This window comes from Homo sapiens, chromosome 10 (genome assembly GCF_000001405.40).
Source record: "Homo sapiens chromosome 10, GRCh38.p14 Primary Assembly".
Classification (NCBI taxonomy): domain Eukaryota; kingdom Metazoa; phylum Chordata; class Mammalia; order Primates; family Hominidae; genus Homo; species Homo sapiens.
The window spans coordinates 12,228,377-12,250,829 of record NC_000010.11 but is presented as its reverse complement, the minus strand read 5'-3'; the positions used below and the strand labels follow the sequence as shown (position 1 = coordinate 12,250,829).

At 44.2% G+C, this 22,453-nt stretch overlaps 1 protein-coding gene across 2 annotated transcripts in view, besides 2 other annotated features; it reads right to left on the bottom strand.

Moving 5' to 3' along the window:
* Positions 1-240: 240 nt before the first annotated feature.
* Positions 241-22,453, bottom strand: part of CDC123 (cell division cycle 123) — a 54,402-nt gene continuing 32,189 nt past the window's right edge. For both annotated transcript variants that reach the window (NM_006023.3, XM_005252638.5), the window contains 7 exons: positions 19,834-19,882; positions 15,707-15,782; positions 13,564-13,686; positions 12,345-12,373; positions 4,553-4,681; positions 1,112-1,249; positions 241-519 (listed from right to left, as the gene is read on the bottom strand). In NM_006023.3, the coding sequence (NP_006014.2) occupies positions 493-519; positions 1,112-1,249; positions 4,553-4,681; positions 12,345-12,373; positions 13,564-13,686; positions 15,707-15,782; positions 19,834-19,882 (571 nt within the window). In that variant the 3' untranslated portion in view covers positions 241-492. The remainder of the gene's footprint in view (positions 520-1,111; positions 1,250-4,552; positions 4,682-12,344; positions 12,374-13,563; positions 13,687-15,706; positions 15,783-19,833; positions 19,883-22,453) is intronic.
* Positions 12,858-13,002: an enhancer, noted in NCBI's record as "145 bp enhancer 241 fragment used in the MPRA reporter construct; PK_construct_1190". NCBI's record gives its function as "activates an SV40 promoter by MPRA in HepG2 cells {active_cell/tissue: HepG2}" and the evidence as "EXISTENCE:reporter gene assay evidence [ECO:0000049][PMID:23512712]".
* Positions 12,925-12,936: a transcriptional cis regulatory region, noted in NCBI's record as "FOXA motif; enhancer activity is reduced when this motif is scrambled". NCBI's record gives its function as "necessary for full MPRA enhancer 241 activity {active_cell/tissue: HepG2}" and the evidence as "EXISTENCE:site-directed mutagenesis evidence [ECO:0005528][PMID:23512712]".

Below are 22,453 nucleotides of genomic sequence, written 5' to 3'. Positions count from 1 at the left end.
CAACACGGTGAGACCCTACCTCTACTAAAAATATAAAACTCAGCTGGGTGTGGTGGCATGCACCTGTAATCCCAGCTACTTGGGAGCCTGAGGCAGGAGAATCGCTTGAACCAGGAGGTGGAGGTTGCAGTGAGCCGAGATCGCACCAGTGCACTCCAGCATGGGCGACACAGCGAGACTGTCTCAAAAAATTAAAATTAAAATAAATAAATAAAATAATGACTCGGTAGAAAAGCAACGTATTTCATAGAAAGCATTTTATTATCAGAACAGTATGGTTTTCCTATGTTTAAGATCTATTTATTATGTTATTTTTACAAGTAGCAAAGTCCCTCCGTTTTTTTCCCCAGGTGAATGTACATGAATATAAAAAGTGGCTGATGTCCACACTGCTCGGCCCACCCGCATCAGGGTCGGCAGGAAGTTGCGGCTGATGAGCAGCTCCCGGAGCGGTGGGGCGGGGCCTCCTCTTCTCCAGTTCCAGTACGCTCATCAGTCGTCCTCCTGCTGATTTCTCTTCTGTCAAAGAAAACCAAGGGGATGTTAAAATAGCACATGCTCCTTGGGATATCTGCTCAGCAGGTGTAATTTTCTAGAGGTCTTGGCAAAGGATGTAATTAAAAATTGTCATGGAAAACCATGCTTTAATTCATTAAACTAGTTTATCACTTTGACTCCTGAGCAAATTATCCTCAGGTATTTGAGTATTTTCTTCTCTTTCTTCCATACATACAAAAACTCCTACACAGAAATCCACACAAAAATATAAATATTCACATCCCCTCTTGAGTAAAATCACCACCAGAGCAGAGACCTGCTCTCCTTACAGCCTTCTAACAATATACACACTTTCTTCAAAGTTACAAGTATTTTGAAAAATGTTCAAAAGGCATGTACAGCATAAAAACATTTTCTGTCATTCTAATCAATAAATTATGCCTTCAGCTCCTATTTCATATTTAATTAGAAAATGCTCTAACTCAGTAACTTGGTTCCATTCATAACCATCAAAGTCTAGGTGATACAGGATTCCAATGAAATATTATATAAAAGCCAATTTGAAGGTCTATTTGAAAAGATGGCCAGCATACTAAATGCACATAGACTTTACCAGCTTAAGGAAGTCTATTAGCTTGTGAGCGTCCTCCCCAGTAGAGAGGTCTACAAAGTCCTTGGGTAGCCGGTAACTCAAATAGGGGCTGGGCTGGACTGTCACTTCACTGTTTGTGCAACGGAAAGCTGGGGAATCCTGTACAAAGAAGAAAAAGGAGAAAGAATATCAATCATTTATTTTTAGGCCTATTCTGTGAACTAAAAAAGAACCTAGCAAAACAATTTCAACTCCATGTTTTCCTCTGTACTTGATGAGGAGAAAGGAAGATGCTTAAGTTAAAATGAGCCGGGCACGGTGGCTCACGTCTGTAATTCCAGCTGGAGTGCAGTGGCTCACTGCAGCCTCGACCTCCTGGGCTCAGGTGAACCTCGCACTTCAGCCTCCCAAGTAGCTGGGACTATAGGCATGCGCCACCACGCCCAGCTGAGTTTTTTAAATTTTAGTACAGAAAATATCTCAGTATGTTGCCCAGGCTGGTCTTGAACTCCTGAGCTGAAGCAATCCTCCTGCCTTGGCCTCCCAAAGTGTTAAGATTATAGGCTAGGTGGGCTGTTGCACCCATGCCAAACTATTTTTTTTTTTTTTTTTGAGGCAAAGTCTCGCTCTGTTCTCAGACTGGAGTGCAGGGGCACGATCTCTGTTGCCCAGGTCTCTGTTGCTCACTGCAACCTCTGCCTCCCAGGTTCAAGTGATTCTCCCACCTCAGCTTCCCAAGTAGCTGGGACTACAGGCGCGCGTCACCACGTCCGGCTAATTTTTGTATTTTTAGTAGAGATAGGGATTTCACTATGTTGGCCAGGCTGGTCTCAAACTCCTGACCTCAGGTGATCTGCCTGCCTCGGCCTCCCAAAGTGCTGGGATTACAGGCATGAACCACCATGCCCAGCTGCCAAAACTAATTTTTTTTTTTTAGACGAAGTTTTACTCTTGTTGCCCAGGCTGGATGCAATGGAGCAATCTCAGCTCATCGCAACCTCCACCTCCCAGGTTCAAGCGATTCTCCTGCCTCAGCCTCCCGAGTGGCTGGGATTACAGGCATGCACCACCATGCCTGGCTAATTTTTTTACTTTTAGTAGAGACGGGGTTTCTCCACGTTGATCAGGATGGTCTCGAACTCCCAACCTCAGGTGATCCACCTGCCTCAGCCTCCCAAAGTACTGGGATTACAGGTGTGAGCCACCGCACCTGGCCTGTTTTTTTTTTGAGACGGAGTCCCGCTCTGTCACCCAGGCTGGAGTGCAATGGCGTGATCTTGGCTCACTGCTGCAACATCCGCCTTCCAGGTTCAAGCAATTCTCCTGCCTCAGCCTCCCAAGTAGCTGGGATTACAGGCATCTGCCACCATGCCCAGCTAATTTTTTGTATTTTTAGTAGAGACGGGGTTTCACCATGTTGGCCAGGCTGGTCTCGAACTCCTGACCTCAGGTGATCCACCAGCCTCGGCCTCCCAAAGTGCTGGGATTACAGGTGTGAGCCACTACGTCTGGCCCAAAACTATTTTTTAAAAGATATAAAATGCTCACAAGAGAACACTGTGAAAATCTCAGGACATGTAATTGAGTATGTAGTATGATTTCATTTATTTACAAAGGTCTATGCATGTGTTTAAATGCACGTTATGTATCAAAATATAAACACTGGTTCTCAAGGTTCTCAAATCATAAGTGATTTTATAATTTTCTTTAAGAATGAGCACGTTACTTTTTTTTTTTTGAGACAGTCTTGCCCTGTCGCCCAGGCTGGAGTGCAGTGGCACAATCTCGGCTCACTGCAAGCTCTGCCTCCCGGATTCATGCCATTCTCCTGCCGCAGCCTCCCAAGTAGCTGGGACTACAGGCGCCCGCCACCACGCCCGGCTAATTTTTTTTTTGTATTTTTAGTAGAGACAGGTTTTCACCGTGTTAGCCAGGATGGTCTCGATACCCTGACTTCCTGATCCGCCCGTCTTGGACATGTTACTTTTATGGGCAGAAAACAGCACTACAAAGTTGTTTCAGGAAAGTCTGGCTGTGAAGCTGGCAGGAAAGGAGAGAGTGGCTGGGTGAAGAAACCGGGTTGAACAATGTTTTGTTTTTTTCGGATGGGAGGTATCTGAGCATGACTAAATCCGGATGGACAGAGTTGATAGAGAGGAAGAATTGCAAAAAGAGCAGAGGGCATCTGGAGAAAGAGGAGGAGGACACAGTGTCCTGAGGGGGAGGTAAGAGAGGAGGACACAGTGTCCTGAGGGGGAGGTGAGAGAGGGGGACACGGTGTCCTGAGGGGGAGGTGAGAGAGGAGGACACAGTGTCCGGAGTGGGAGGTGAGAGAGGAGGACACAGTGTCCAGAGTGGGAGGTGCGAGAAGAGGACAGTGTCCTTAGGGGGAGGTGAGAGAGGAGGACACAGTGTCCTGAGGGGGAGGTGAGAGAGGAGGACACAGTGTCCGGAGTGGGAGGTGAGAGAGGAGGACAGTGTCCTGAGGGGGAGGTGAGAGAGAGGAGGACACAGTGTCCAGAGTGGGAGGTGAGAGAGGAGGACAGTGTCCTGAGGGGGAGGTGAGAGAGGGGGACACGGTGCCCTGAGGGGGAGGTGAGAGAGAGGAGGACACAGTGTCTGGAGTGGGAGGTGAGAGAGGAGGACAGTGTCCTGAGGGGGAGGTGAGAGAGAGGAGGACACAGTGTCCGGAGTGGGCGGTGAGAGAGGAGGACACAGTGTCCAGAGTGGGAGGTGAGAGAGGAGGACAGTGTCCTGAGGGGGAGGTGAGAGAGAGGAGGACACAGTGTCCTGAGGGGGAGGTGAGAGAGGAAGACACAGTGTACTGAGGGGGGAGGTGACAGAGGAGGACACAGTGTCCAGAGTGGGGAGATGACAGAGGGGGACACAAGTGTATGGAGGGGGGAGATTAGACTCAGGAAGGGACGGACAAGCTTGTAGGTGTGATGAGAAATCAACTGAGGGAATTCTCATCAGTGGGTTCCCTTTTCCGGGAAACAGCAAGTTAAATCATCTGCTGAGAGGAAGGAAGGAATGATGGGAGACTGAGAAGCATCAAGGCGTGAGCCAGTCACCGTGGAAATGGAGGAGAAAGCTGACAGGAATCCGCTGGGCTGCACGTGTGTAACTTCTCTGTCGGCCTCAGCAGCTGGGGCTGGGGTCAGAAGGAACAGATGCATGAGCTGATCTGGGACCAAGATTCCTCCAGGTGGGTGTGACAGAAGAAGCTCAGAAAAAGAACTAAAAAAACTGATCAGATGATCCTGACTTCTGTATATAAAGTTAAGTGGGGCCCCCTTCTTTGACCACCACCATGGGCAGGTTAGCTATTAGTAAAGCTGTGTTACACTCTGCGCTTCCCAAGGGTCCTGGCCATTGCCGCCTACCTATGCGTCTGAAGAACAAGCAGTCAGTCAGTAGACTGGAAAGGTTTACATTGTATCTGTCTTAAAAATGTTGTACCTGCTCTTGAGCGTCAACTTCACTAAAATCGCCGTTTAAGTTGTTCTCAGATATCAGTTCTTCCCAGGTGAACAGCAGTGAATCTGTGACTTCACCAAATGGATTAAAGTCAATGAGCCACACCTTCCCCTGTAGCACAGAGAGAGAAAAAACAAAAACAAACATCTTCTGTACTCTGTCTTCTGAGAAAGAAACACTTTTTTATTCTGAGACAGGGTCTCATGCTGTTGCCCAGGCTGCAGTGCACTGGTGTGATCACGGCTCACTGCAGCCTCGACCTCCTGGGCTCAAAGGATCCTCCTGCCTCAGCCTCCTCAGTACCTGGGACTACAGGCATGCACCACCACATGCAGCTAATTTTTGTATTTTCTTCGAGACAGGGTCTCGCCATGTTGCCCAGGCTGGTCTTGAACTCTTGGGTTCAAGCAATCCCCTCACCTCAGCCTCCCAAAGTGCTGGGATTACAGACATAAGCCACGTCGCCCGGCCAGAAAGATATTCTTCATATTATTCTAATCTTAAAAATCTTCTCACTTATTTCAAAAGATCATCTGTCTATATCCCATCTGAGAAAGGGCCGCCTGTCTGAATAGACAGAGATCTAAAGGGAGGGCCCCCTGTGAATGAAGAGAGAAGGGACCCAGTAAAGCTCTGCCTAAGAGATAACGTTCCAACTCCAGCCTCAAGCCACAGTGGAACTTTAAGTCAAAGATTCCAGCAGGGCCGGGCATGGTGGCTCACACCTGTAATCCCAGCACTTTGGGAGGCTGAGGCGGACAGACCACTTGAGCTTAGGAGTTCAAGACCAGCCTGGGCAACATGGTGAAACCCCATCTCTACAAAAAAATATAAAAATTAGCTGATTGCGGTGGCAGACGCCTGTAGTCCTAGCTACTTAGGGGGCTGAGGTAGGAGGATTGCTTGAGCCCAGGAGGTCAAGGCTACTGTGAGCCGTGATCAAAACACCACACTCCATCTATCCTGGGTGACAAAGCAAGACCGGGTCTCCAAAAAAAAAAGAAAAAAAGATTCCAGCAGGAAAGGGAACTGTCACCCAAAGGCGAAGGGTCTGCGGTCTGACCAAAGCGTCTTCCCGGAGCCTTCAGTGCTCTGTTCAGGGGGAGCCGGACGGAGCCAGGCAGTGCCTGCGACTCCAGAGAGCAGCGCTTCTGACTCGGGAAAGGCTGCTGCCAAGGGTGGATTTTTTTACCATATGCAAGGATGAAGATGCTGGGTTTTTTTCTGTGGTTTTTGTTTGTTTTTTGTTTTTTGTGAGAGTCTCACTCTGTTGCCCAGGATGGAGTACAATGGTGCGATCTCGGCTCACTGCAACCTCCGCCTCCTAGGTTCAAGCGATTCTCCTGCCTCAGCCTCCCGAGTAGCTGGGATTACAGGCATGCGCCAGTATGCTTGGCTAATTTTTGCATTTTTACTAGAGACAGGGTCTTACCATGTTGGCCAGGCTGGTCTCGAACTCCTAACCTCAAATGTCCTCCCACCTTGGCCTCCCCATGAGCCACCGTGCCCAGCCTGAAGATGCTGTTTTCTTTCTATGTGAATGTGGTAAGTGTTCCGTCTGTACAATAGAGCTTGACAGCATATGAAGGGGACGTAAAAAAAAAAAAAAAAGAAAAAAGAAAAAAAAAAAACCACCCCAACCTCTGAAAGAAATGTCTACCTTGTCCTGTTCTGAAACCACAGGTGGGCAATTTGGTGACTCTCCTCAGGGAAAGGTCACCTTTGAGCTGGGGGCACTGTGCTGAGGTAGGGCTGGGGCCTCTGAGCAGAAAACAGCCAGTGCTGACACGCACAGAGCGGGGGCACAGGGGCTGCGCCGCCAGGAATGACGGCCACGGCATCCGATCACGAACACCTATTGACACGAAGTGGATGGATGTTTCCTCGAAAGGTTTATCTTTGCTCCTTTTCACTTTTCTCACTGAAACATTCATATATTTGTGCCATCTGGTTAATAATGAATTTGTTTTTTTCTATAAATGTGTTGCCGCCATGTCCTGAGCGGGTGTGTGTCTGTGAAATTCCAAGCAACAAGACCGCTGAGCCAGCATGCCTAATATCTGGCACTGTTTCTCAGCTGAGCGAGAGCAAACTGTTAAGAAAGATGCAACATCTAATTAGGACTTGCTTCAAATACCAGAACCTCCAGTTAAGTGGCACAGGCCTGTCGCAGGATGTTTTCGCAGGATGTTTTCAGCACAACCCATTTAGGTAAGTTCCTCATTTTATACAAGCCCCAGGAGAGGCCCTGCAAATTTCTCACCGCTTGAGTTGTTTCCTCACCTCCATTTGGCACCCACTTCTTCATTCCTGGAACTATGTGAAACAGTATCAGCCGTCAAACAACTTCTTGGTAATGATGTCAACTTTATTTTGGAGAATACTGCTAAGATGTCTTCAATATATGTCATGATACAAAATGGACATTTTCTAACCTCCAAATCTTTTCTACTTGACTTTCTTTTTTTTTTTTTTTGAGATGGAGTCTCGCTCTGTCACTCAGGCTGGAGTGCAGTGGTGCGATCTCTGCTCACTACAACCTCCGCCTCCCGAGTTCAAGTGATTCTCCTGCCTCAGCCTCCCAAGTAGCTGGGACTACAGGCGTCCGCCATCACGCCCAGCTAATTTTTTGTATTTTTAGTAGAGACAGGGTTTCACTGTGTCAGGATGGTCTCGATCTCCTGACCTCGTGATCTGCCTGCCTCAGCCTCCCAAAGTGTTGGGATTACAGGCGTGACCCTCTGTGCCCAGCCTCTACTTGGCTTTTTATAGTCAGTAAAACTAACTCATTTTTTTTTAAACAATCACACTTTTAATATAGGAATATGCCACAATGCAAAAAACCAAACCACATTTTTTCCTTTTTTTTTTTTCACTCTTGTTGCCCAGGCAGGAGTGCAATGGTGAGATCTCGGCTCACTGCAACTTCCCCTTCCTGGGTTCATGCAATTCTCCTGCCTCCACCTCCTAAGTAGCTGGGACTACAGGTATGCACCACCACGCCTGGCTAATTTTCTATTTTTGGTAGAGATGGGGTGTCACCATGTTGGTCAGGCTGGTCTCCAATTCTTAAACTCAGGTGATCTGCCCGCCTAGGCCTCCCAAAGTGCTGAGATTACAGGCGTGAGCCACTGTACCCAGCCCAAAACACATTTTTAAATGAAAACAAACCACCACTGTTAATTGGTAGTGTACTCTGTAGCTCAGAAGCTATCCTCTAGTACAAAAAAAAAGAGTTTAAGTAAATTAAAAAAAACCCAGCTGTAACTTCTATAAACTAGGAGGATCAGGATCAGGATTTTATAACTTTTTTTTTTTGAGACAGAGTCTCGCCCTGTTGCCCAGGCTGGAGTACAGTCGCGCGATCTCAGCTCATTGCAACCTCCTCCTCCTGGGCTCAAGTGGTTCTCCTGCCTCAGCCTCCCAAGTAGCTGGGATTACAGGCGCCTGCCACTGTGCCTGACTAACTTTTGTATTTTTAGTAGAGACGGGGTTTCACCATGTTGGCCAGGCTGGTCTTGAGCTCCTGATCTCAGGTGACCTGCCTGCCTCAGCCTCCTAAAGTGCTGAGATTACAGGTGTGAGCCACCACGCCCGGCCATAACATGTTTTCATGTGACATCTCAAGCACAAACAGCCTGAGAAGTTAATTCTGCTTTGAGGCAATCCAATAAGCAAAGAGCAGTCGGACTAACTGTCCTTGTACCAGCTGACTGTCTCCCTGCCCCGATCAAGCTCTAGGGACCAGACACTGTGTTAGGCACTGGGCATGAAGATCGTAACACAAAATCGACTCCTTCCAAGAGCTCAGGCTTGAGCAGAACACACATCTCCACTTCCCCAAAACAGAACCAAAAGCCATCCAACAATGGCAATGTGCAGGGTATTTTGCTTCAAGAGAGGCAAGAACAGGGAACTGTGAGAGCGGAGAGGCACACAGGAGAGCCTGCCTACATGTGCGAGGGAAGGCTGGAAATGCTTCCCAAAGGACCTGGGCACCTGAGGGATAACAGAGATGCCCTGGGAGGAGGGTGGTGTTGGCAGGAAAAGCGGACCACTTAACAAGAACGACGGCTCTCACGTACAGAGGCCACGCCACGACCGCCTGTTGCGGGAATAGGTTATTTTGGCTGGAGTGTGAGATATGTGAGGGCTCCTGAAATACAGCCAGCTATGTAACTCTCAAGGCTTGCTGTTCCAAACAGGATGAAACACATGCTACGACAAGCCGTTTAAAAGTGTAATTGAGATTATGAGAAAGACCGGGAAATCCCCCGGGGCCAGAAACAAGAACCCGAAGAACAGAACTAAGCCTATCAACTCTAGTGCTGTGGGAACCCGTGGGAGGGTCTCCTAGCAGCCTGGCCACAGGAAGGGAATCAGAACTCAGACACAAACTCCAGAAGGCGACAGTCTCAGGAAAGGGAGTGTGAGGAGACAGTTCTAATGACAGGGCAGGACACAATGACTGTTCTTCTCTGAATGAGTTTTGAGGAACATGGTAGAAGCAAATGAAAAACCCAAAATTTTGGATCTTTGGGATTCTCACAAACAAAAGAACAAACAAAAAGAACAAGCTCACTGAAGATGAACTCAAAGTAAATAAATAAACTGATTTACAAAACAAAAAAGAAACAACCAACCCGGATGAGAGTCTGTAAACGCAACAGGCATTAAAGCCCCAAGAACTCTGGAAATCATCATCAATCTGAAGGACAGTATAAAATAAATATATTGATGCTAGACAAAAAGACTAAGGGGGATCCATATCGCATACCAAACACGCAAAGGAACAAAAGCCAAACATCCAATATTGAAATGGAGAACAAGAAGTTACAAAAGAACTGGACAAAAACCATGGGGAAGTATTTTTTAAAATGATGGCTGAAATTCAAAAGCCAGAAAAGAAACAAATAATCTATGTGATCTCGTTCACAGGAAAAGACTAATGACAAAGGCCTAATCTCTGTAATACATAAACAGTGCCTCTATTTTGAGGAAAATGAGACAATAGAAAAAAGTGAAAAAGACATGAAGCAATGGTTCACAGAAACGACCCTTAAATATATGAAAAGATAAACTTCATCCTCACTTACTAAGAAAAATAGAAGTAGAAATTATACTGAAACATCATTTCTCTACGAAACCCCAAAAACCCTGAAGAGTGTAACCCTATATTGTAAAGGCAAGCTCTGAGGAAGCCTGCAGGTACTGTGATGCATTCCTGGGGGGATCTGGTCAGGTGTAACCTCTACCGAGGGTAAACTGCAACATTAAAATACATTTCACTTTTGAGCCAGCAATCCCGCTTCTAGGAATTCACCCTGTAGATTCACCTGCAGCGTGTGAAATGACACACGTACGGGATTATTCACCATGGCAGACTGCAGAAGACCAGACACAACCTGGTGTTCACTGCTAGGCATGACATGTATGATCATGGCTCACTGCAGCCTCAACCTCCCAGTCTCAAGCGATCCTCCCAACTCAGCTCCCGGGAGTAGCTGGGGCTACAGGCACAAACCACCACACCTGGCTAATTTTTATGTAGAGACGAGGTCTCATTATGTTAAGCCCAGGCTGATCTCAAACTCCTGGGCTCAAGCCATCCTCCCACCTCAGCCTCCCAAAATGCTGAAAATACAGGCGTGAGCCACAACAATGGCCTAAAGCCCCTCTTTCTAGTAACTCTTAACAGACACCATCATCTTTGAAGACAAAGAGGTGAAAATATAGTGATGTCTTTTGACGTAAGAGTTAAATGAACAGTTAACAGTTATTCTGGGACATGATCATATGGGCCATATCTTTTTGTCCAAAGATGATTCGAAGATGTCCAAAGGTGATTCAGATTCAAATGACTGTCTCACTTACAATGAGGCTGATCTAAGCACGGAGAGAGAATGAGAAATATTCTGCTTGTGTGTAGGTGACACGGGAAAACGCATCTGCTAGCTTCTTCACAATGTCAAAGAGCACTCAGCACCAAACAGCATTTAGTGACCTAAACTTCTTAATAAAGATGACATGTCTTGGACAGTGAAATCTCTGCTCTAGTAATTCTTCATTAAGTCAGCAGTAAGTAACTTTACTAGTAAGTCACTTTAACTTTTTCCTTACAGAAGTTTTCATCACTTTTAAGATTTAAAAAATAAACTAATCCTCTTCTGTCTAAAGATAAAAGTAACTCAAACTTTGAGTCACTTTTAGTTGACTAAAAATAATAATAATAATTTTTTTTTTTTTTTTTTTGAGACGGAGTCTCGCTCTGTAGCCCAGGCTGGAGTGCAGTGGCGCGATCTCGGCTCACTGCAAGCTCCGCCTCCCGGGTTCACGCCATTCTCCCGCCTCAGCCTCCAGAGTAGCTGGGACTACAAGTGCCCGCCAACACACCCGGCTAATTTTTTGTATTTTTAGTAGAGACAGGGTTTCACCGTTTTAGCCAGGATGGTCTCGATCTCCTGACCTCGTGATCTGCCCGTCTCGGCCTCCCAAAGTGCTGGGATTACAGGTGTGAGCCACCGCGCCCGGCCCCTTTTTTTTTTTTTTAAAAAACAGAGTTTCGCTCTTGTTGCCCAGGCTGGAATGCAATAGCACAATCTCAACTCACTGCAACCTCCACCTCCTGGTTCAAGTGATTCTCCTGTGCCTCAGCTTCCCACGTAGCTAGGTGGCATGCGCCACCATGCCCGGCTAATTTTGTATTTTTAGTAGAGACAGGGTTTCTCCATGTTGGTCAGGTGGGTTTCGAACTCCCGACCTCAGGTGATCTGCCCGCCTCAGCCTCCCAAAGTGCTGGGATTACGGGCGTGAGCCACTGCACCCGGCCAAAATAATTATATAAATATCAAGTGACAAACTCCTGGCCAAATTTAAGTGTGCAAACTGAACTATTTTAAGCAGGCCCTGACCTCTGACACAAATGAGACATAGGACGTAAGTGCTCATTTACCTACCTGTTCAATAAAGAATCCCTAAACCATGGTACACAATGATTTCAGCTATTAAGTCCTCTAATGTTAGGTATATTTTAAGGGGAGATTTTTGACCATGGTGAATTTCAATCACCTTAGTTGATGTGAGAAAAAAAAAAAAATTTGAGGAGGGGATGGGGTCTCACTCTGTCACCCTGGCTGGAGAGCAGTGGCGCAATCAAGGCTCACTGCAGCCTTGCATTCCCGGGCTCAAGTGATCCTCCCAGCTCAGCCTCTTGCATAACTGGGACTACAGGCAAACACCACCAGGCCCGGATATTTTTTTTTTCTCTTTTGAGGCAGAGTCTCGCTCTGTTGCCCAGGCTGCAGCACAATGGCGTGATCTCCGCTCACTGCAATCTCTGCCTCCTGAGTAGCTGGGATTTCAGGCACCCACCACCATGCCTGGCTCATTTTTTTGTATTTTTAGTAGAGACGGAGTTTCACCATGTTGCCGAGGCTGATCTTGAACTCCTGACCTCAAGTGATCCTCCCACCTCGGCCTCCCAAAGTGCTGGGGTTACAGGTGTGAGCCACTGTGCCTGGCCTGGGCTAATTTTTTTTTAATTTTTAGTAGAGATGAGGGCTCACTATGTTGCCCAGGCTAGTCTCGAACTCCTGAGCTCAAATGATCTCCCTGCCTAAGCCTCCCAAAGTGCTGGGAATACAGGCATGAGCTGCTGCACCCAGACAAAATATTTTTTGAGCATGGATCCTTCACACACATAACAAAGGCATGCTCTGCCTGCTTATAAAACCAGCTCTTATATTAAAGCATATCAGAAAGAGTTTTTACTTACCCTACTGTCTCTGTATATATCGAACACAACTGTAAAGGAGAAAAAAAGTCAGTTATTAATGAACTAATATTTCACAATGTAAATCTCCTTTTGAAAATTAAAGTACATTTTAATCAAAGACAGCAGAATATAAATGACCCTGAGGACTTCATGCTTCTAAACCTCAAAACTTCAAACATAAAAAGGCATCCTGCAATGTTTTATTTATATAACTTTGCTTTACTGTTCTCTGTTCCCCAACCATAAGCCCCTATATTTAAAAATTCAAACCAAACGCCAATATCATCTCAACCAGTTCCCCGTTATAGACTGGTTCTATGGGAAAGATGGGAGTCACTGAGCAAAGTACTAGTGAAACGGGCATCAATCACTGATCTGGTAGAATGCAATGAGTAAAGCTTATAATAGAAAGCATAAAATCTAATGAGCCTTGAAGCATGATTCATCTTATTTTAAGTCAAATCTGCCACAGAGCCCAGTCTTGGCAAGTAGAGAAATTGTAAATCATAGCAGATATAATTTTCAGATGTATGAAAACTCTTACACAATATACTTTCAATTCCTAAAAACAACCCACAAATGTTTACTTTGTAACTGGTGCTGTCTTTGATCATTCAAAGAAGCTAGAAAGGTAGATAGACTTTGTTCTCTGTAGATAGCCCCTTTGAAATACACAATCAAACATCTAAAACAAGACAGGGAACTGACTTAGCAGTAAAAATAGATTTTAGTTAAATAAGATGAAATTAACATGGCTGGTGCGGTGGCTCACATCTGTAATCCCAGCACACTGTGAGGCTGAAGTGGGCGGATCACTTAGGCCAGGAGTTCAAGACCAGCCTGGCCAACATGGCGAAACTCCATCTCTACTAAACATACAAAAAATTAGCCGGGTGTGGTGACGTGCACCTGTAGCCCCAGCTACTTGGGAGGCTGAGGCAGGAGAATCACCTGAACCCGGGAGGTGGAAGCTGCACGAGCCGCGATCGCACCACTGCACTCCAGCCTGGCTGACAGAGTAAGACTGTCTCCAAATAAAAATAATAATAATAAAAAGAAATTAACATACAAACTATCAAAAATAACAAATAATAATATAGTAAAATGCTTACAATACAGTATTTCAAATCTAGTTATTAGGATACACACCATAGTAAATAAGGTCCAGTAACAATGTATATTTCATTTCATTTTACTGGATCAATAAAAAAATACTCACAGTCTTCATCTAAGAATTTGTACTGTATGTGTTTCTTGAAAAAGTCTTGTATGCATCTGCGAATTTCTTCCTTTTGTTTAGAAATATGATCATAGTATTGTGTGTAGTCTCTTTGAGAAATACCTGACAAGAAAATATTTTACATCCTGTTATTATACAATATTCTTTTCAAAAACATCAATACGTGATTTAAACATTTTGTGGAAAGAACCATTAAAGTAGATTAGAAGATCACCCTGATGGGTACGGCATTACACACGACCCAGCTGTAAGGATTCATATGAACAGGTGAATCCTGAAGTCCTACATTGCCATGTCTTCTTACTTCTGGAAGAATTTACTTTTTGTTTTGTTTTGTTTTGTTTTGTTTTGTTTTGAGACGGAGTCTCACTCTATTGCCCAGGCTGGAGTGCAGTGGCACGATCTCGGCTCACTGCAACCTCTGCTGCCCGAGAAGCGATTCTCCTGCCTCAGCCTCCCAAGTAGCAAGGATTACGGGCGCCTGCCACCACACCCAGCAAATTTTTTTTTGTATTTTTAGCAGAGATGGGGTTTCACCATCTTGGCCAGGCTGGTCTTGAACTGATCTCATGATCCACCCACCTCAGCCTCCCAAAATGCTGGGATTACAGGTGTAAGCCACCGCACCTGGCCTTTTTTTTTTTTTAGAGACAGTGTCTCATTCTGTTGCCCAGGCTGGGGTACAGTGGCACAATCATAGCTTATTACAACCTCCACTTTCTGAGCTCAAGTGACCCTCCCACCTCAGTCTCCCGAGTAGCCGGGACTACAGGCATGTGCCACCATGCCTGGCTCATCGTTTTATTTTTTGTAGAGACGGGGTCTCAGTACATTGCGCAGGCTGGTCTTGAACTCCTGGCCTCAAGCAATCCTCCAGCCTTGGCCTCTCAAACTGTTGGGATTACAGGTGTGAGCCACAGCACCTTGCCCATGGAAACAGTTATTTTCATTTAGTAAAATGGAAGGAATTCAAAGTCACAAAAAGTCTTGTTATGTAAAAAATTAAAGCAGCAATTCTAAACCTGCACACATAATCAACTGCTGCTGCTTTGCTTTCTTCCAAAGAGTCTCTGCAAATTGGTATTCTCTTCCACTTTCTTTGGGAAAATATCAAATATTCTTCAAGAGATGCCTGCCATATTCATACTGTATTGCATAGAAGCAGTCTATTTTTCTTGTTCATACATGCTACTTGGCCTTCACAGCCTGCTCTCGTTCAAGCCATGGAAAAGTAAACATTCCTTTTTTCAGAGTGACTTGCTGACAAGATTCCAAACACACTAACTGGACTATTACACAAACTCCCTGAATTTGCTCCAGTCCTAGGGAAAAGTTCTCTGCTCTGAAATACGGGCTTCCTATTCCTGAATCTTGTGCCAACAGGACCCCCCGCTTTAGAGTACTTACACTGCAGCTTCTTCAAGAATATCGAGCAATATGAGAAATGTGAACACCCCAACTTTCTTTCAGGTGGGTTCATACATTTCAACATCACATTCAATGCATCAATAGTGCTGATGTGATTGTATTCAAATTACACTTTTCTAGGTTGAAGATAAATTTTACTTCATGGAAAATATGCATTAACAAAATAAAGAACAAATTATCTTCAATATTTAAGTTAAATCAATCATAGCAAACAGAACAGTAACCTGAGAGGAAAGAAAATGGGTGACTTAGAAGAATACACTTACTTGTCCACATATTTTCTCTTGCTAGAATAATAAACAGTGCCCCAATAATAGAAATAAAGGTTCCAAAACTTGGCTTTTTATGACGCTTGAAATAAGCAGACTATTGCTAAGTACTGCTTAGGAAAATTCCATACACAGAGTTCCTGATTCCTAAATCAGGAACAGTGACAACCACCATTTTTATCTCTGGAATCCAGACAGCCATGATTATCTGACAATACCGTTTCCTGCGGCAAGTGACTCTGGGCTCAGGATTCCTGTCAACACAGCATTCCAGAGAGTCAGTATCAACTGGTTAGAGGTGGCATCTGAGATGAAAACAGATTGACATCCCTGTCCTAATTACTGGAAATTTACTTCCAACAAAAGCTTGTTTTCTTTTAAAGATGACTTTGAAGGATAAAACAAACAAACAAACAAAAACTCACCAATAAGCTTGTTTTCCTTGACAAAACATCGAAACTCAGCCCCAGGAATCAATTCACACCATTTTCGGAGAACGAGCTGTAAACAAAAGAAAAAATATTTAATATAACACACCTATGTGGTAAGGTCTACTAGGCAATTTTAGGTCAACACTGTATCTTAATGATTGCCATTATCAAATGGTTTTAAAAAAAGAGGCATATGACATTCTTGGCCGGGCATGATGGCACATGCCTGTCAGCTACTCAGAAGGCTGAGGCAGGAGAATCACTTGAACCCGGGAGGTGGAGGTTGCAGAGAGCCAAGATCACGCCATTGCACTTCAGCCTGGGAAACAAGAGCAAAACTCCATCTCAAAAAAAAAAAAAAAAAAAATTCTTCACATGAGATGTAGGGAATAGAGTTGTGATCTATTATTCTGATAACCACAGGAAAATTGTGCTAAAATTCTATGACAAAATGCATCCTTGTCACATAACTGCCATTTTGAGAGTTCTGACATACAAGCACACCACCAAGAATGTAGTCACAACTTTTCACCACAGTGCCATACGTTCATTCATATGTTCTGCACCCCTTGAGGAATATCAAATAATAAAGTAATTCCAGCCAGGTGCGGAGGCTCACGCCTATAACCCCAGCACTTTCGGAGACTGAGGCGGGCGATCACCTGAGGTCAGGAGTTCAAGATCAGCCTGGCCAACATGGTAAAACCCCGTCTCTACTAAAAGTACAAAAAAATGAGCCAGGCATGGTGGCGGGTGCCTGTAATCCCAGCTACTCAGGAGGCAGAGGTTGTAGAGAGCCCAGATCGCGCCATTGCGCTCCAACATGTGAAACCTCCTCTACTAAAAACACAAAAAATTAGCCAGGTGTGGTGGCAGGCACCTGTAGCCCCAGCTACTAAGGAGGCTGAGGCAGGAGAATCGCTTGAACCCAGGAAGCGGAGGTTGCAGTGAGCCGAGATTGCGCCACACTGCACTCCAGCCTGGGCGACAGAGCAAAACTCCATCTAAAAAATAAAATAAAATAAAATATAGTAAAATAAAATAATATAATTCTAAAGTTGTCTACCTTAAGTACCATGAGGTAATGCTTACTTTGATATAATTATTATTGAGGTTTGTCACAATGAATCACCAAAATAACTCTCTCACTATTTTCTCAATATTTTAGTCGATCAATTCTACCCTTGGCCTAAATCACAAATGGGTCTTATTACTGTAATTAATAATTATTTAATAGATATAAACTCTCATATACTAATAAGTTTCTCATCTTAAAAATCAGGAAAATTTCAGGTGGGCACTCTCAATGTATTAAAAAAACACATTTAAAGTATGCCTTAGAAATTTTAAATGCACTGATTTCATTTTTCATTTATTATAAGCTCTTAGTCAAGCCTTATTATCTGCTTTTTAAAAAAATACGTAATTATTAAATGAATCTGAAACTAAAATACTACACAGTTCTTATCTATTAAAAGCCCATACAGGCATATACATACATAATTTTATACATTTTATATATATATATAGGCTACAGTGGTTTTACTTAGCAACAAATAAATAAGCAATTGTAGCACACAATTTATTGGAAAATTTGCATAATGTTTATCAAAATACTATTTTGTGCATGTAATACATACACTGTGGTTGATTTTCACAAAACACAGAAGGGGATAGGGAGTGTCTCTCCCGAACTCTGTCCCTCTGTCTTTTTCCTGAGAGGCAACCAGTGCTATAGGTTTCTTGTGCATCTTTCCAGATTTATCCTATGAATATGTAAGTATCTATAAAGAGACAGAGAGTGTGTGTGTGTGTGTGTGTGTGTGTGTGTGTGTGTGTATTTTAAATACACACAGACAGGAGAAAATGATACAAAGGATTCTACTTGCAACTTTTTTCATTTGAATTACTTGAAGAGTATCACTTTCCTACAATTTTAAAACTAGGTTTTAAATCTTATATACATGATAATGGTGTCTTTCAAAACGGCAATAAGAGAGCAAACTGCTGGTAAATAAATCTTGGAGGTAGATGATGACTTCTTAAGAAAGACTGTGCCTCAGAGAAAGGCTAAGGAAATCCTGTAATCCCAGCACTTTGGGAGGCTGAGGCGGACGGATCACGAGGTCAGGAGAACGAGACCATCCTGGCTAACACAGTGAAACCCCGTCTCCACTAAAAATACAAAAAATTAGCCAGGCGGAGTGGCGGGTGCCTGTAATCCCAGCTCCTTGGGAGGCTGAGGCAGGAGAATGGCGTGAACCGGAGATGGCGCCACTGCACTCCAGCCTGGGTGACAGAGCAAGACTCTGTCTCAGAAAAAAAAAAAGAAAGGTAAGGAAATGATCTCTTTCTCATACCTGGCAGAAAGCACCACAGCCAGGTACTTAATAGACAGATGTTCGTTGCGTGAAGCAATAGCTGTGACTATATTATATAAAGTTATAGGAGTGTTTAATAAGCTGGGAAAATGCTCACACTATGCTATTAAGTGAGGGGAAAAAATCTCACAAGTTGTATATAAGAATCTCACCTACAAGCACTCTAAGATCTAGTAATTGGTGGCTTGGTAAGGAGTAACTTAACTAGTAAATTAACTGTTCCATGTATATGGTATAATCCTAAAAGATACATCAATATCTACAGTCAACACATTAAAAATTACTCAATGCAGTGAGTCAACAGACAAATTTTGAAAGCATGTGTACATATATAAAAAAGTAGCTAGAAGCAAACAGACACTAAAGACAGATTTTAAAATTACTGCACTAATTCGAATTGGTGTTATATGACCAAAAATGAAAATGTAATTTTCACATAAATGTAAAAATGCAATTATGGAGCAAAGATGGCCATCCTCTTTGCAACAAACTATGAGCCGTCAAAGTTTCTAAAAGTTTGCATTTTGACAGTGCAAGTGGAAGAAGGACCAGGAATCGGAGTTGAAACGTGGAGTCTGCATTTAAAAAAAGGCAGGGCGCAGTGGTTCACGCCTGTAATCCCAGCATTTTGGGAGGCTGAGGCAGGCGTTTCACTTGAGGTCAGGAGTTCGAGACCAGCCTGGCCAACATGGTGAAACCCAGTCTCTACTAAAAATACAAAAATTAGCTGGATGGTGGTTGTGCACACCTGTAATCCCAGCTACTCGGGAGGCTGAGGCAGGAGAATTGCTTTAGTCCAGGAGGCAGAGGTTTCAGTGAGCTGAGATCGCGCCACTGCATTCCAGCCTGGGCAACAGAGCAAAACTGTATCTCAAAAAAGAAAAAAAGAAAAAAAAGTTATGTTTCAGATCCATTCATGACAGTTGATGAGCAGTTAGTTGTAGCTAAGAACCTGGTCCAGATCAGGGTATGTGCGTGTGTGTTGTGTGTATACTTTCAAAACTAGGAAAATCTGGAATAAAAATTGAGGCTTACTATGTTTAAACTCATCAAAATTTCTAATGAAGTTGTTTTTTCACTATCCTCTTATTCTTTTTTTTTTTTTTTTTTTGAGACGGAGTTTCACTTTTGTGGCCCAGGCTGGAGTGCAATGGCGCCATCTCAGCTCACTGCAACCTCCACCTCCCGGGTTCAAGCGATTCTTCAGCCTCAATCTCCTGAGTAGCTGGGATTACAGGCCACCACTACCACACCCAGCTAATTTTTGTATTTTTAGTAGAGATGCGGGGTTTCGCCATGATGGCCAGGCTGGTCTCGCACTCCTGATCTCAGATGATCCACCCACCTCGGCCTCTCAAAGTGCTGGGATTACAGGCGTGAGCCACCACGCCCGGCCTATCCTCTTATTAAGTTATTTGTAAGGTGAGTGAACAATATAAAAATGGTAAAATGCTGAAACAATTAGGTGCACCTGTGAGGCGTATAAAGGTGTTTGTTCTATTAAAGGTGTCTGCGTATATCCTGTAGCAAGTGTATACTGCATACATGTATTTGGTATATACACTCTATATATAATATATATCCTTTTATGTGTATATTTCATAAATTTAAAATTTCAGTGGCTTTAGGTTCCCGAAGAAATTAATCCAAGAAACTTCATTCATTTCATTTCACTTAAGAATAAATAGCAATTCTCAACACATCTTCATCTACAATTATCAAAGAAAATAAGCTTCTTACCTCATATTCTATACATGGATCTGGAGAATCATCAGTACAATGAATAAACCTTTGGAAGAAGAAGAAAAGGCAACTGAATCTTTTTGTTACTGGTGCCAGTTTATGCACACACTTAACATATATTTAACATGAGAGTAACGTTTTACTAAAAGCATCCAGAAACAGGAGACTAACTCAAATTCGACGAACACTTACTGAGCCGTATTCAATGCTTTGCATTAGCCTAGGCAGCCTGAGATATGAACTCATTTAATCATCGAAACAATGTTATGAGCAAGACTGTACCTTCCAGGATCATTTCTATAGCTGGTCTAGTATTTGACAGCACAACAGGGTGACTACAGTCAACAACGATTTAATTGTACATTTTAAAATAACTAGAGTGTAACTGGATCATTTGTAACACAAAGGATGGATACATGTTTGAGTGGAACAGATACCCCACTTTACATGATGTGATAATTAGGCATGGCCTGTTTGTATCAAAACATGCCATGTACCCCAGGATGGGTGCAGTGGTTCATGCCTGTAATCCCACCACTTTGGGAGGCCAAGGCAGGTGGATCACTTGAGGTCAGGAGTTTGACACCAGCCTGGCCAACATGGTGATACCCTGTCTCTAGTAAAAATACAAAAATTAGCCGGCTGTGGTGGTGGACGCCTGAAATCCCAGCTACTCGAGAGGCTGAGGCAGGGGAATCACCTAAAACCGTGAGGCGGAGGATGCAGTGAGCCGAGACAGTGCCACTGAACTCCAGCCTGGGTGACAGAGCGAGACTCCATCTCAAAAAAAAAAACCCAAAAAACAAAAAAAACCCATCTTATGTACCGCATGAATATATACACTTACTATGTACCCACAAAAATTAAAATAAACAATGTTATGGGCTATTATAACCATAGAGATAGCATAATGTCCATTTTTCTGTCAAAAGGCAAAGAAACTAACACCCAGAAAAGACCAAATTTAGTGGCCACAACAAGACTCAAACTGTCTAACCCCTGATTCTCAACGAGGGCAGGAAGGCACTGTCATTGTCCACGTTCTTGTTGTGTGCATCTTACAGTGGAGCCAGCAGCCTACTTCTCTCTCAACGTAACGTTGGCCATCGAAAGTCACACAGTTAACTGAATCCTTCTCCCACGTGCCATTTTAAAACTCAGATAGATCCATTCAGCCCTCCATTAAGTATACTGCTTCCTCCTCGAAAAATCCTCACTTTCATCAACAATGTTTCATATCGCTTATTAAATGCCCATCTATGCCAAAGCTTGGGCTAGGCATTGGGAATGTTAAAATGATGAAGACTCCTTTGTTCTGGTTGAGCTTAGTCTGGTGGAGAAAGCTAAAAAATAGACACAATTTTAAAAACACTAGAGAAAAAATACTCTGCAGCACCAAGGAAGAACTGATTAGCTGGCTGCTGTGTGTCGGAGGGGAGTGGTAGTCAAGAAGGGGCCCGCATTTAAAGCACGGAGAAACGTGCTAAGGCAGGGAGGGCAGTGAGAGATCTCACAGAGCATTCAAATAACTAGAGAAGATCAGCTCTGATGGAGTGCAGGACTCAAGGGGGAACTGCGACAGATGGAGCTGGACAGAAACTCTGGACAAAGAGAAGTATCCAGGTCATGAGAGGCCTCGTGTGCCCACCCAGGGGACTTGGACTTCATTATAAGGACAAAGGGGAGCCCTAAAGTCTCCAACTACGCAAGGGAGATCATTCCATTTAGGCGTTAAGAATATCACTGTGTTCACAGGTACCAGGGGTTTAAAAAACGCATCTATATCACTATGGCACAATGGTGTTGGACAGTTTAGGGGAAGGGCAGCAACCTGGGAGGCAGAGAAGCCTGGTAGAAGGCTTGCTGCAATAGCCTCGGGGAGATGAGGGTCTAACTAAGGGAATGGGAGTGGACACAGAAAGGAGAAGCGTAGAGGCGGAGGCAAGATCACTTGGTGACTCACTGAAAGGGAGGGGGCAGACCTGGCACGGTGGCTCACGCCTGTACTCCCAGCACTCTGGGAGGCTGAGGCGGGCCGATTGCTTGAGTTCAGGAACTCGAGACCAGTCTGAGCAACATGGCAAAACCCTGTCTCTACAAAAAATACAAAAATTAGCCAGGCGTGGCCAGGCGCAGTGGCTCACGCCTATAATCCCAGCACTTTGGGAGGCCGAGGCGGGCAGATCACCTGAGGTTGGGAGTTCGAGACCAGCCTAACCAACATGGAGAAAACTCATCTCTACTAAAAATACAAAATTAGCTGGGTGTGGTGGTGCATGCCTGTAATCCCAGCTACATGGGAGGCTGAGGCAGGAGAATCGCTTGAACCTGGGAGGCAGAGGTTGTGGTAAGCCAAGATCGCGCCGTTGCACTCCAGCCTGGGCAACAAGAGTAAAACTCCATCTCAAAAAAAGAAAAACATTAGCCAGGCCTGGTGGTGTACACCTGTAGTCCCAGCTACTCAGGAGGCTGAGATAGGAGAACTGCTTGAATCCAGGAGGCGGAGGTTGCAGTGAGCCGAGATTGCGCCACTGCACTCCAGCCTGGGTGACCGAGTAAGACACCGTTTCAAAAAAAAAAAAAACTAAAAACAACCTAGTTTTTCTCTGTAAAGCAA